General features: G+C 42.8%; 7 annotated features.

Annotated features, from left to right (window-relative positions):
• Positions 9,358 to 9,407: an enhancer, noted in NCBI's record as "active region_21108". NCBI's record gives its function as "activates an Ori minimal core promoter by ATAC-STARR-seq in GM12878 lymphoblastoid cells {active_cell/tissue: GM12878}" and the evidence as "EXISTENCE:reporter gene assay evidence [ECO:0000049][PMID:35858748]".
• Positions 9,672 to 10,173: an enhancer, noted in NCBI's record as "H3K4me1 hESC enhancer chr3:197120941-197121442 (GRCh37/hg19 assembly coordinates)". NCBI's record gives its function as "activates a minimal SCP1, AML or CMV promoter by ChIP-STARR-seq in primed H9 embryonic stem cells {active_cell/tissue: H9 hESC(primed)}" and the evidence as "EXISTENCE:reporter gene assay evidence [ECO:0000049][PMID:30033119]".
• Positions 9,672 to 10,980: a biological region, named in NCBI's record as "P300/CBP strongly-dependent group 1 enhancer GRCh37_chr3:197121050-197122249".
• Positions 9,781 to 10,980: an enhancer, noted in NCBI's record as "P300/CBP strongly-dependent group 1 enhancer chr3:197121050-197122249 (GRCh37/hg19 assembly coordinates)". NCBI's record gives its function as "activates an origin of replication core promoter dependent on BRD2, BRD4, P300/CBP, MED14 and CDK7 cofactors, with strong dependence on P300/CBP, by STARR-seq in HCT116 cells {active_cell/tissue: HCT116}" and the evidence as "EXISTENCE:reporter gene assay evidence [ECO:0000049][PMID:35650434]".
• Positions 9,898 to 10,777: an enhancer, noted in NCBI's record as "active region_21109". NCBI's record gives its function as "activates an Ori minimal core promoter by ATAC-STARR-seq in GM12878 lymphoblastoid cells {active_cell/tissue: GM12878}" and the evidence as "EXISTENCE:reporter gene assay evidence [ECO:0000049][PMID:35858748]".
• Positions 10,300 to 10,594: an enhancer, noted in NCBI's record as "tiled region #14311; K562 Activating DNase unmatched - State 20:ReprD". NCBI's record gives its function as "activates a minimal TATA promoter and a strong SV40 promoter by Sharpr-MPRA in K562 cells {active_cell/tissue: K562}" and the evidence as "EXISTENCE:reporter gene assay evidence [ECO:0000049][PMID:27701403]".
• Positions 10,788 to 10,837: an enhancer, noted in NCBI's record as "active region_21110". NCBI's record gives its function as "activates an Ori minimal core promoter by ATAC-STARR-seq in GM12878 lymphoblastoid cells {active_cell/tissue: GM12878}" and the evidence as "EXISTENCE:reporter gene assay evidence [ECO:0000049][PMID:35858748]".

The raw sequence follows: 13,493 nt of genomic DNA on the forward strand, positions 1-13,493 counted from the left end.
ATTTGGGATAGTTTACTATCTGCATTGCATTTGGGATAGTTTACTATCTGCAGCGCATTTGGGATAGTTTACCATCAGCAGCGCATTTGGGATAGTTTACTATCTGTGGCACATTTGGAATAGTTTACTATCTTCAGCACATTTGGGATAGTTTACTATCTGTAGCACATTTTGTATAGTTTACTATCTGTAACACATTAGGGATAGTTTACTATCTGCCTTGCATTTGGGATAGTTTACTATCTGCATCACATTTGGGATAGTTTACTATCTGTAGCATATTTGGGATAGTTTACTGTCTGTAGTGCATTTGGGATAGTATACTATCTGCAGCACATTTGGGAGAGTATACTAACCATAGTGTATTTGTGATAGTTTACTATCTGCAGCACATTTGGGATACTTTACTATCCATAGTGTATTTGCAATAGTTTACTATTTGCAGTGTGTTTGGGTTAGTTTACTATCTGCCTTGCATTTGGAATAGTTTACCGTCTGCAGCGCATTTGGGATTGTTTACTGCCTGCCTTGCATTTCGGATAGTTTACTATCTGCAGTGTATTTGGGATAGTTTACTCTTCATAGTGTAGTTGCAATAGTTTACTTTCTGCAGCACATTTGGGATAGGTTACTCTCCATACTGCATTTGGGATAATTTAATATCTGCACCACGTTGGGGGATAGTTTACTATCTGTAGCCCATTTTGGATAGTTTACTATCTGTAGCATATTTGGGATAGTTTACTATGTGCAGTGCATTTGGGATAGTTTACTATCTGCCTTGCATTTGGGATAGTTTAATATCTGCCTTGCATTTGGGATAGTTTCGTATCTGCCTTGCATTTGGGATAGTTTAGTATCTGCACTGCATTTGGGATAGTTTACTATCTGCAGCGCATTTGGGATAGTTTACTCTCTGCACTGCAGTTGGGATAGTTTACCATCCATAGCACATTTGGGATAGTTTACCATCTGCAGCGCATTTGGGATAGTTTACCATCAGCAGTACATTTGGGACAGTTTACCATCTGCAGTGCATTTGGGATAGTTTACCATCCATAGCACATTTGGGATAGTTTACCATCTGCTGTACATTTGGGACAGTTTACCATCTGCAGCGCATTTGGGATAGTTTACTATCTGCAGCACAGTTGAGATACTTTACTATCTGTAGTGTATTTGTGATAGTTTACTATCTGCAGCACAGTTCAGATAGTTTACTATCTGTAGTGTATTTGTGATAGTTTACTATGTGCAGCACATGTGGGATAGTTTACTCTCCATAGCACATTTGCGATAGTTTTCTATCTGCAGTGCATTTGGGATAGTTTACCATCTGCCTTGTATTTGGGATAGTTTACTATATGCCTCGCATTTGGGATAGGTTACTGTCTGCCTTGCATTTGGGATAGTTTACTATCTGCAGGGCAGTTGCGATAGTTTACCATCTGTAGTGTATTTGTGATAGTTTACTATCTGCAGCGCATTTGGGATAGTTTAGAATCCATAGTGTATTTGCGATAGTTTACTATCTACAGCGCATTTGTGATAGTTTACTATCTGTAGCACATTTGGGATAGTTTACTGTCTGCAGCACATTTGGGATAGTTTACTATCTGTAGCACATTTGGGATAGTTTACAATCTGCAGCACATTTGGAATAGTTTACTATCTGCAGCACATTTGGGATAGTTTACTATGTGTAGCACATTTTGGATAGTTTACTATCCATAGTGTATTTTGATAGTTTACTATCTGTAGTGCACTTGGGATTGTTTACTATCTACAGCGCATTTGTGATAGTTTACTATCCATAGTGTATTTTGGTAGTTTACTATCTGCAGTGCACTTGGGATAGTTTACTATCTGCAACACATTTGGGATAGTTTACTCTCTGCAGCACATTTGGAATATTTTACTATCTGCAGCATATTTGGGATAGTTTACTATCTGTAGCACATTTTGGATAGTTTACTATTTGTAGCACATTTGGGATAGTTTACTATCTGCACCACATTTGGGATAGTTTACTATCTGCAGTGTATTTGGGATAGTTTACCATCTGCACTGCATTTCGTATAGTTTACTATCTGCTCTGTATGTGGGATAGTTTACTATCTGCAGCGCATTTGGGATAGTTTGCTATCTGCAGCAGATTTGAGATAGTTTACTATCTGTAGTGCATTTGGGATAGTTTACTATCCATAGCCCATTTGGGATAGTTTACTATCTGCAGTTCATTTGGGATAGCTTACCATCTGTAGTGCATTTGGGATAGTTTACTATCCATAGCACATTTGGGATAGTTTACTATCTGCCTTGCATTTGGGATAGTTTAACATCCATAGTGCATTTGGGATAGTTTACTATCTGCAGCACATTTGGGATAGTTTACAATCTGAAGTGTATTTGTGATAGTTTACTGTCTGCAGCACATTTGGGATAGTTTAATCTCCATAGCACATTTGGGATAGTTTTCTATCTGTAGCACATTTGGGATAGTTTACTTTCTGCCTTGCATTTTGGATAGTTTACTCTCTGCATCACGTTTGGAATAGTTTACTATCTGCAGCACATTTGTGATAGTTTACTGTCTGTAGTGCATTTGGGATAGTACACTATCTGCAGCGCATTTGGGATAGTTTACTATCTGCACCACATTTGGGATAGTTTACTATCCGTAGTGCATTTCCAATAGTTTACTACCTGCAGCGCATTTGGAATAGTTTAGTATCTGCAGCACATTTGGGATATTTCACTATCTGTAGCACATTTTGGATAGTTTACTATCTGCAGCACATTTAGGATAGTTTACTATCTGCAGCGTATTTGGGATAGTTTACCATCTGCACCGCATTTCGGATAGTTTAGTATCTGCACTGTATTTGGGATAGTTTATCATCTGTAGGGCATTCGGGATAGTTTACCATCTGCAGTGCATTTGGGATAGTTTACCATCTGCACCACATTTGGGATAGTTTACTATCTGCTCTGTATTTGGGATAGTTTACCATCTGTAGTGCATTTGGGATAGTCTACTATCTGCAGCACATTTGGGATAGTTTAGTATTTGTGGCACATTTGGGATAGGTTACTATCTGCCTCGCATTTGGGATAGTTTACCATCCACAGTGCATTTGGCATAGTTTACTATCTGCCTCGCATTTGCCATAGTTTGCTATCCACAGCGCATTTGGGGTAGTTTACTATCCACAGTGCATTTGGGATAGTTTACTATCTGCTCTGTTTTTGGGATAGTTTACAATCTGTAGTGCATTTGGGATAGTTTACTATCTGTGGCACATTTGGGATAGTTTACTATTTGTGGCACATTTGGGATAGGTTACTATCTGCCTCGCTTTTGGGATAGTTTACTATCCACAGCGCATTTTGGGTAGTTTACTATCTGCAGTGCATTTGGGATAGTTTACCATCTGCCTTGTATTTGGGATAGTTTACTATCTGCCTCGCATTTGGGGTAGCTTACTATCTGTCTTGCATTTGGGATAGTTTACTATCCAGAGCACATTTGGGGTAGTTTGCTATCTGCAGTGCATTTGGGATATTTTACCATCTGCCTTGTATTTGGGATCATTTACTATCTGCCTCACAATTGAGGTAGTTTACTATCTGGAGCGCAGTTGGGATAGTTTACCATCTGCCTTGTATTTGGGATAGTTTACTATCTGCAGTGCATTTGGGATAGTTTACTATCTGCAGCACATTTGGGATAGTTTACCATCCATAGTGTATTTGCGATAGTTTACTATCTGCAGCACATTTGGGATAGTTTACTATCCGCAATACATTTGGGATACTTTACTATCTGCAGCGTATTTGGGATAGTTTACCATCTGCACTCCATTTCGGATATTTTACTATCTGCACTGTATTTGCAATAGTTTACCATCTGTAGCGCATTTGGGATAGTTTACCATCTGCAGCACATTTGGGATAGTTTACTGTCTGCCTTGCATTTGGTATAGTTTACTATCTGAAGCGCATTTGGGATAGTTCAGCATCCATAGTGTATTTGCGATAGTTTACTATCTGCAGCACATTTGGGATAGTTTACTCTCCGTAGCACATTTGGGACAGTTTACCATCCATAGTGTATTTGCGATAGTTTACCATCTGTAGCACATTTGGGATAGCTTACCATCTGTAGCGCATTTGGGATAGTTTACTATCTGCCTTGCATTTGGGATAGTTTACTATCTGCACTGCATTTGGGATAGTTTACTATCTGCAGCACATTTGGGATAGTTTACTATCCATAGTGTATTTTCGAGAGTTTACTATTTGCAGTGCTTTCGGGATCGTTTACTATCCATAGTGTATTTGCAATAGTTTACTATCTGCAGCGCATTTGGGATAGGTTACTATTAGTAGTGCATATGGGATAGTTTTCTATCTGCACCGCATTGGGGATAGTTTACCATCCATAGTGTATTTGGGATAGTTTTCTATGTGCAGCGCATTTGGGATAGTTTACTCTCTGCCTTGCATTTGGGATAGTTTACTATCTACACCGCATTTAAGATAGTTTACTATCTGTAGCATATTTGGGATAGTTTACTATCTGTAGCGCATTTGGGATAGTTTACTATCTGCCTTGCATTTGGGATAGTTTACTGTCTGCACCGCATTTGGGAAAGTTTACTATCTGCCTTGCATTTGGGATAGTTTACCATCTGTAGCGCATTTGGGATAGTTTAGTATCTGCAGTACATTTGGGATAGTTTACCATCTGCACCACATTTGGGATAGTTTACTATCTGCTCTGTATTTGGCATAGTTTACAATCATTAGCACATTTGGGATAGTTTACTATCTGTGGCACATTTTGTATAGTTTACTATTTGTGGCACATTAAGGATAGATTACTATCTGCCTCGCATTTGGGATAGTTTAACATCCACAGTGCATTTGGGATAGTTTACTATCCACAGTGCATTTGGGGTAGTTTACTATTCGCAGTGCATTTGGGATAGTTTACAATCTGCCTTGTATTTGGGATAGTTTATGATCTTCCTTGTATTTGGGATAGTTTACTATCTGCCTCGCATTTGGGATAGTTTACTGTCTGCCTTGCATTTGGGATAGTTTACTATCTGCAGCACATTTGGGATAGTTTATCATCCGTAGTGTATTTGCGATAGTTTACTATCTGCAGCACCTTTGGGATAGTTTACTATCTCTAGCACATTTGGGATAGTTTACTATCTGCAGCACATTTCCGATAGTTTACCATCTGTAGTGTATATGCGATAGTTTCCTATCTGCAGCACCTTTGGGATAGTTTACTATCTCTAGCACATTTGGGATAGTTTACTATCTGCAGCACATTTCCGATAGTTTACCATCTGTAGTGTATATGCGATAGTTTCCTATCTGCAGCACATTTGGGATAGTTTACTATCTGTAGTGTATTTTGATAGTTTGCTATCTGCAGTGCCCTTGGGATATTTTACTATCTGCAGCACATTTGGGATAGTTTACTATCTGCAGCACATTTGGGATAGTTTACTATCTGTAGCAAATTTTGGAGAGTTTACTATTTGTAGCACATTGGGATAGTTTACTCTCTGCAGTGTATTTGGGATAGTTTACCATCTGCACCGCATTTTGGATAGTTTACTATGTGCACTTTATTTGGGATAGTTTACCATCTATAGCACATTTGGGTTAGTTTACTATCTGCTCTGTATTTGGGAGAGTTTACCATCTGCACCTCATTTGGGATAGTTTGCTATCTGCTCTGTATTTGGGATGGTTTACTATCTGCGGTGCATTTGGGATAGTTTACTATCTGCAGCACATTTGGGATAGTTTACTGTCTGTAGTGTGTTTGCGATAGTTTACTATCTGCCTCACATTTCGGATAGTTTACTGTCTGCAGTGCATTTTGGATAGTTTACTATCCATAATGTATTTGCGATAGTTTACTATCTGCAGCGCATTTGGGATAGTTTACTATCTGCAGCACATTTCGGGTAGTTTACCATCTGCAGCGCATTTGCGATAGTTTACTGTCTGCCTTGCATTTGGGATAGTTCACTATCTGCAGCACATTTGGTATAGTTTACTATCTGCAGTGCATTTGGGATAGTTTACTGTCTGCCTTGCATTTGGGATAGTTTACTATCTGCAGCGCATTTAGGATAGTTTACTATCCGTAGTGTATTTTTGATAGTTTACTATCTGCAGTGCATTTTGGATAGTTTACTATCCATAGTGTATTTGCGATAGTTTACTATCTGCAGCACATTTGGGATAGTTTACTATCTGCAGCACATTTCGGATAGTTTACTATCTGCAGCGCATTAGCAATAGTTTACTATCTGCCTTGCATTTGGGATATTTCACTATCTGCAGCACATTTGGTATAGTTTACTATCTGCAGTGCATTTGGGATAGTTTACTGTCTGCCTTGCATTTGGGATAGTTTACTATCTGCAGCGCATTTGGGATAGTTTACTATCCATAGTGTATTTTTGATAGTTTACTATCTGCAGTGCATTTGGGATAGTTTACTATCCATAGTGTATTTGCGATAGTTTACTCTCTGCAGCACATTTGGGATAGTTTACTATCTGCAGCGCATTTGGGATAGTTTACTATCCATAGTGTATTTGCAATGGTTTACCATCTGCAGCGCATTTGGGATAGTTTACTATCTGCAGTGCATTTGGGATAATTTAGTATCTGCCACACATTTGGGATAGTTTACTATCCATAGTGTATTTGGGATAGTTTACTATCTGCAGCGCATTTGGGATAGTTTACTATCTGCAGCGCATTTGGGATAGTTTACCATCCATAGTGTATTTGCGATAGTTTACTATCTGCAGCGCATTTGGGATAGTTTACTATCTGCCTTGCATTTGGGATAGTTTACTATCTGCAGCGCATTTGGGATAGTTTACCATCCATAGTGTATTTGCGATAGTTTACTATCTGCAGCGCATTTGGGATAGTTTACTGTCTGCCTTGCATTTGGGATAGTTTACTATCTGCAGCGCATTTGGGATAGTTTACCATCCATAGTGTGTTTGCGACAGTTTACTATCTGCAGCGCATTTGGGATAGTTTACCATCCATAGTGTATTTGCGACAGTTTACTATCTGCAGCACATTTCGGATAGTTAACTGTCTGCCTTGCATTTGGGATAGTTTACTATCTGCAGCGCATTTGGGATAGTTTACTGTCTGCCTTGCATTTGGGATAGTTTACTATCTGCAGCGCATTTGGGATAGTTTACCATCCATAGTGTGTTTGCGACAGTTTACTATCTGCAGCGCATTTGGGATAGTTTACCATCCATAGTGTATTTGCGACAGTTTACTATCTGCAGCACATTTCGGATAGTTAACTCTCTGCCTTGCATTTGGGATAGTTTACTATCTGCAGCGCATTTGGGATAGTTTTCCATCCATTGCATATTTGCGAAAGTTTACTATCTGCAGCGCATTTGGGATAGTTTACTATCCATAGTGTATTTGCAATGGTTTACCATCTGCAGCACATTTGGGATAGTTTACTATCTGCAGTGCATTTGGGATAATTTAGTATCTGCCACACATTTGGGATAGTTTACTATCCATAGTGTATTTGTGATAGTTTACTATCTGCAGCGCATTTGGGATAGTTTACTATCTGCAGCGCATTTAGGATAGTTTACTCTCCATTGTGTATTTGCAATAGTTTACTATATGCAGCGCATTTGGGATAGTTTACTATCTTCAATGCATTTGGGATAGGTTACTGTCTGCCTTGCATTTGGGGTAGTTTACTATGTGCAGCGCAGTTGGGATAGTTTACTGTCTGCCTTGCATTTGGGGTAGTTTACTATCTGTAGCACATTTGGGATAGTTTACTATCTGCAGCGCATTTGCAATAGTTTACTATCTGCAGCGCATTTGGGATAGTTTACTGTCTGTAGTTCTTTTGCCCATTAGCTTGGATTCCTTGTCGTAGGGTCTCTTTTTGTCTGCTTTGCAAGCAAAAATCAGAGCCCCTGAGTCACAAAAGTGTGTAGGTACCTTTCCACACTAGTTTCTCCTCATTCAGGGACCCCATGGCTTATAAGAAGGTAAAGCTGAGTGGCTCTCAAGTGTCCCAGGAAAACAGTCCTTTCTGCATGTTTGATCTGCCAAGTTGCCAATATCTGATCTGAGCTCCTCAGAAGCTCCTAGGAGAAAGAGGTGACTCAGGGAGCAGAAATGATGGGCCAGAGAGAGAACCCTAATAGCTAGCTTCACAGGCCCATCTCTGTCTTTGCCCACCTTTCCTCACCCAAGTACAACAGTGTTTGGAGTGGCTTAGTGTAACCTAACTTTCAGTGGTCCCCTCAGGACTGGTAGGCCAAATTTAGAGCCCACACAAGGAAGTCTATTGGTCATGTGGTGTGCCTTGAAGCCTGCAGCATGTAAAAAGTTATATTTAATACCCTGGGAGAGACCAAATACAGGAAAGCCAGTTTGTGGGATACAATTATTTTTTCATAAGAAGCCTCTCTGCCTATGTGTTTGGTAAACTGTTAGCCCTCTAAGAGTTGGACTGTGGATTCTCTAGTCTTATAGTTAGACACGTGGACAAGCAGAACGTTTAAGAGTCAGAGGAACATTCCAGGATCTTCAACAGCCCTAAACAAGGTCATTGGCATCCTGCTAGATATGGTTGGCACAGAGCACACTCTGTGACTGACCCTCTCAATCAGCCCAGCATCCTGTCCAGTGGCCTGACCGAGGGCTGCACTGTAATCCTTGTTTCCTTTGAAAGTCTGGAATTCATAAGGAAATAGGGTGGGGGTAAAGAATGGATGATCTAATTTTCCAAGGGAGTATTGGATTAGTCAACAACTTGATCCCCACTGCTGAGATAGCTCCTTTTGTGAATATTTTACCTACCCACCTGCTAGGTCTCAAGGCTTCTGAAAGTACTCTTCCTAGACAACTACACTGAGCATCTTAAAACAGCACAGTCTGCTTCCTTCCCTCACTGATTCTGAAAAACGGAGCCGCTCCCAGTCCCTTTCGTATCCACCCTGACTCCAGGCAGGATAACACTGGATAAAGTCCCCTATATCCTTCAGCATAAAAATCCCAAAAGTCCACTCCAAGGCCTTCTGCCTGCTCTTGTTTAAGACACAGTGGCTGGTCTCTGAAGCAGCCTCTAGAGGCTCTGATGCCAGCCAGTACATTTAAAGATGAGCTAAAGGAAACAGAAGGGTAGTTGGTACACTTCTTTATCTCCCGACATTTGCCTGGAGCAAAAGAAAGAGGAGAATGATGCTGAGATTAAAGCCTCTCCCCTGGAGTGATTCTATGTGGCCTGTTGCGTTGGTGCAGAGAGGCAAGGCAATAAGGCCTTCTGGGGTTCAGCAGAGAGACAGGTCAAACAAGGGTACTGCCCAGGCTGCTGGGGCCCCAATCAAGATGTGACTCTTCTCCAAAGGGAGCAGATGACACGGGCCTCCTTGTACCAGTGTGGCAGCCAGCATGTGTGCAGGATGGGGACAGACACTCAGGATAGGCAGAGAGAGCCACATTACCAAGTAATCAGACTTGTTTACCACTCTTGAGGTAAATGTGGGAAGCCAACAACCAGCATTTTGTAGAGTCACTTGGCGGAAGAAACACCATCCACACAAGTCAATCAAAAATATATATTCTTGGCTGGGCGTGGTGGCTCACACCTGTAATCCCAGCACTTTGGGAGGCCGAGGAGGCGGATCACCTGAGGTCAGGAGTTCAAGACCAGCCTGGCCAACATGGTGAAACCCATCTCTACTAAAAATACAAAAAATTAGCTGGGCATGGTGATGGGCACCTGTAATCCGAGCTACTCAGGAGGCTGAGGCAACAGAATCGCTTGAACCTGGGCGGCGGAGCTTGCAGTGAGCTGAGGTTGCGCCACTGCACTCCAACCTGGGCCACAAGAGTGAAACTCCGTCTCAAAGAAAAAAGGTCTATTTTTAAAAACTACTAACTGAGAAAGAAGTAAGAGCCTTGAAGAAACAGAAAGAAGGAACCTGAGCATGCCACGGCAGGAGAGGATGAGAACGGCATGGAGAAGGGGGAGGCGCAAGCAGCTGGAAGCCCACGGCGGAATGGGCCGGTGCTCGGAGAGCTGTTCGGATGGCACGGGAGCTGATTGTCTTGACGTTAAGTTCCTCGGTGAGGAGAGAACAGAAGTTAATGGCACCCACCGGGCCTGGGTGGAGCCTCAGCACCACCAAAGAAAGCAGATTCTGCATTTGGAAAGCCTAGGCCCTCTCCTTGAACCTGGTTCTCAAGGTTTCGGTGATGAGTCACCTCGTTCCCCCTCACCAGCTTCTGTCTTTAGCCACAGCACTGACGTGTCTGAACCCGCACGCACCTCCTGAGCTGGAGCACCCGTCATCTTCACACCACAGATGACTAACCATGGCCTGCTCACAGTCTCCTCATTATCACGGAATGAAAATGCTACATGCCTGAAAGCTGAGGTTTTGGGAACAGGATGAGAAGAGCTGCGGAAGGAATGGAGATGCAGGTGGCAATGAGCTAAGCTTTTGACAGGCCCTCGCAGTCCTCGGGAGCAGGGGCCAAGTGACCACAGATCCAGAGAGAGTGCTCTCCTTGGCAGGGCCGCATGAAATCTCATTCATTACAGCCTCCGATTAGGTTCCCAGGCTCATTAAAATCTGTGTGCCATTCACTGTTTCTCTTGGATCAGACTGGATTCTACTGTGCAGAGAATTGCCAGGGCTTCCAAGTGTCCAGTGCAGGCCAGATAGCATCTCTTGGCTTCACTTCTTCCTGAAGTTTCTCCCTGTGCTTCTGTGTGCTCACTGCCAAGAACACAAGTCAGCATTCAGGCCCACGGCTGCCAGCTGAAACAAGGGCTTCTGACCCAGACAAAGCCCGCAGATAAAGTCCAAAGCACTTGAGCTAAACTTACTCTAAAAACTATGGCAGTACAGGACAAAGGAAGACACTCGGGTTAGACACAAAGAACCACAGCTAAGGCAACCTTTAAAAAAGGAGAGTGGGCTGGGCGCAGTGGCTCATGCCTGTAATCCCAGCACTTTGGGAGGCCAAGGTGGGCGGATCACTTGAGCTCAGGAGTTCGAGACCAGCTTGGGCAACATGGCAAAACTCCATCTCTACCAAAAAAAAAAAAAAAAGTTAGCCAGGCACAGTGGCATGCACCTGTGGTCCCAGCTACTTGGGAGGCTGAGGCAGGAGAATTGCTTGAGCCAGGAGTACAGAGGTTGCAGTGAGCTTCTCGTGCCATTGCACTCCAGCATGGGGGACAGGAGTGAAACCCTGTCTCAAAAAAATAAAATAAAATAAAATAGGAGAGTAAAGAGGAGCTTTTACTCTATCTGATAGAAAGACATATTATAGCCAGGTGCGGTGGCTCACGCCTGGAATCCCAGCACCTGGGGAGGCTGAGGCAGGAGGATCACTTGAGGCCAGAAGTTCAAGACCAACCTGGGCAACACAGTGAGACCCCATCTCTACAAAAAATAGAAAAAAATAATTAGCTGGTCACGGTGGCACGTGCCTGTAAGTCCAAGCAACTCAGGAGACTTAGACGGGAGGATTTCTTGAGCCCAGGAGGTTGGGGCTGCAGTGAGCCGTGGCTGCACCACTGCACTCCCCAGCCTGGGTGACAGAGTGGGAACCTGTCTCAACAACAACAAAAAAAGACATATTAAAAAGCCATCATAATAAAAACAGTAGTTTAAAAACCATAAAAATAGATCACCAGAACAGAATAGAGAGCTCAGATTCAGTCCCAACTTAATGTAGGATGAAGGTGAGGCCGGGCGCGGTGGCTCACATCTGTAATCCCAGCACTTTGGGAGGCCGAGGCAGGTGGATCATGAGGTCAGGAGTTCAAGACCAGCCTGGCCAAGATGGCAAAACCCCGTATCTACTAAAAATACAAAAAATTAGCCAGGCGTGGTGGCATGCACCTGTAATCCCAGCTACTCTGGAGGCTGAGGCAGAGAATTACTTAAACCTGGAGGGGCGGAGCTTGAAGTGAGCCGAGATTGCGCCACTGCACTCCAGCCTGGGCGACAGAGTGAGACTCCATCGCAAAAAAAATAAAAAATGATTAAAAAATAAAAAATAACATATAGGATGCAGGTGGTCCCGCACATCACGGGGAAGGACAGATTATTTAGTAAATGGCATTTGGGAAACAGGCTCATTGTATAGAGAAAAATAAAACTGGACCCCTACTTAACACTAAATACAAAAGAGGACTCTGCATGCTTTAAAAACCTAAGTATAAAAGGTTAAAGAAAAATAGTGGAAATAAAATGGGCAGAAGAGAGTGCAGGGACGTATCTTTGTGATCGATCCTCCTCAAAACAAAATTTCAAAAGCATAAGGCAAATTTTTACGAATATGATTAAATTAAAATTAGGGGTTTCTAATCAACAAAAGTCCCCATGGACAAAGTTAGTAGACTGTTAACAGAACAGGCGTAGATATTTGTAACATCTAAATCAATGAGGGATTGATACGAAGAATATGGAAAGATCTTGAACATTTATGACTGTAATTAAAAATGGGGAAAGGGGCCGGGCGTGGCTCACGCCTGTAATTCCAGCACTTTGGGAGGCTGAGGCAGGCAGTTCATGAGGTCAGGAGTTCAGGACCAGCCTGACCAATATGGTGAAACCCAACTCTACTAAAAATACAAAAATTAGCCAGGTGTGGTGGCATTTGCCTGTAGTCCCAGCTACTCAGGAGGCTGAGGCAGGAGAATCACTTGAACCCGGGAGGTGGAGGTTGCAGTGAGCCAAGATCGTGCCACTGCACTCCAGCCTGGGTGACAGAGCACGTATCCATCCCCCCACCAAAAAAAGAAAAAAAATTGTGGAAAGGATATAAACAGATTTATACAGAAGATGAAATTCCAAAAAGCGAACAAGGTGGCATAGGTCAGTTGTGCTGAAGCAGACTCGGAGCTAGGGAGTTGTGAGCAGGAGGTCTATGTGGGAGTGATCTCAGCAGCAACGCGGTGAGGGAGTGAGGAAATCAGGATAGGACTGGGCAGAGCAAGAATCTGAACGGTGATGTGGGTACAGACAGGCCTTGGCTGATCCCACTGGGGAACGCTGATGCTGGCATGTCTTTTCAGAGATGTCCTGAATGTAGGCAAGGGACTGGGGCTTTGTACCCCTTCATTGACTAGCCTCTGGATGGACACTGCCCCCACGGAGAGCTCATAAGTGTGGGTGAAGCTGCTTACTTGGACTGAGGGCAATTCCCAGGGAGGGTCTCACCTGTGAGCCATTCACAGCCGGCACTCTGGCAGGGAGGGGTGGAGAGGGGTAAGGGGAGGCATAGCTTTTAGTCCTGAAGCAGGAACCGGAGCGGTATACCATGCATCTACCATGAAGAGAGACTCAAAAGTTTTAGTAACACAAAAAATGAAAATTAAAACAACAGCCGGATGTCACTGTATGCCTTTTATATTGGCA

This window comes from Homo sapiens, chromosome 3 (genome assembly GCF_000001405.40).
Source record: "Homo sapiens chromosome 3, GRCh38.p14 Primary Assembly".
Taxonomy (NCBI): Eukaryota; Metazoa; Chordata; class Mammalia; order Primates; family Hominidae; genus Homo; species Homo sapiens.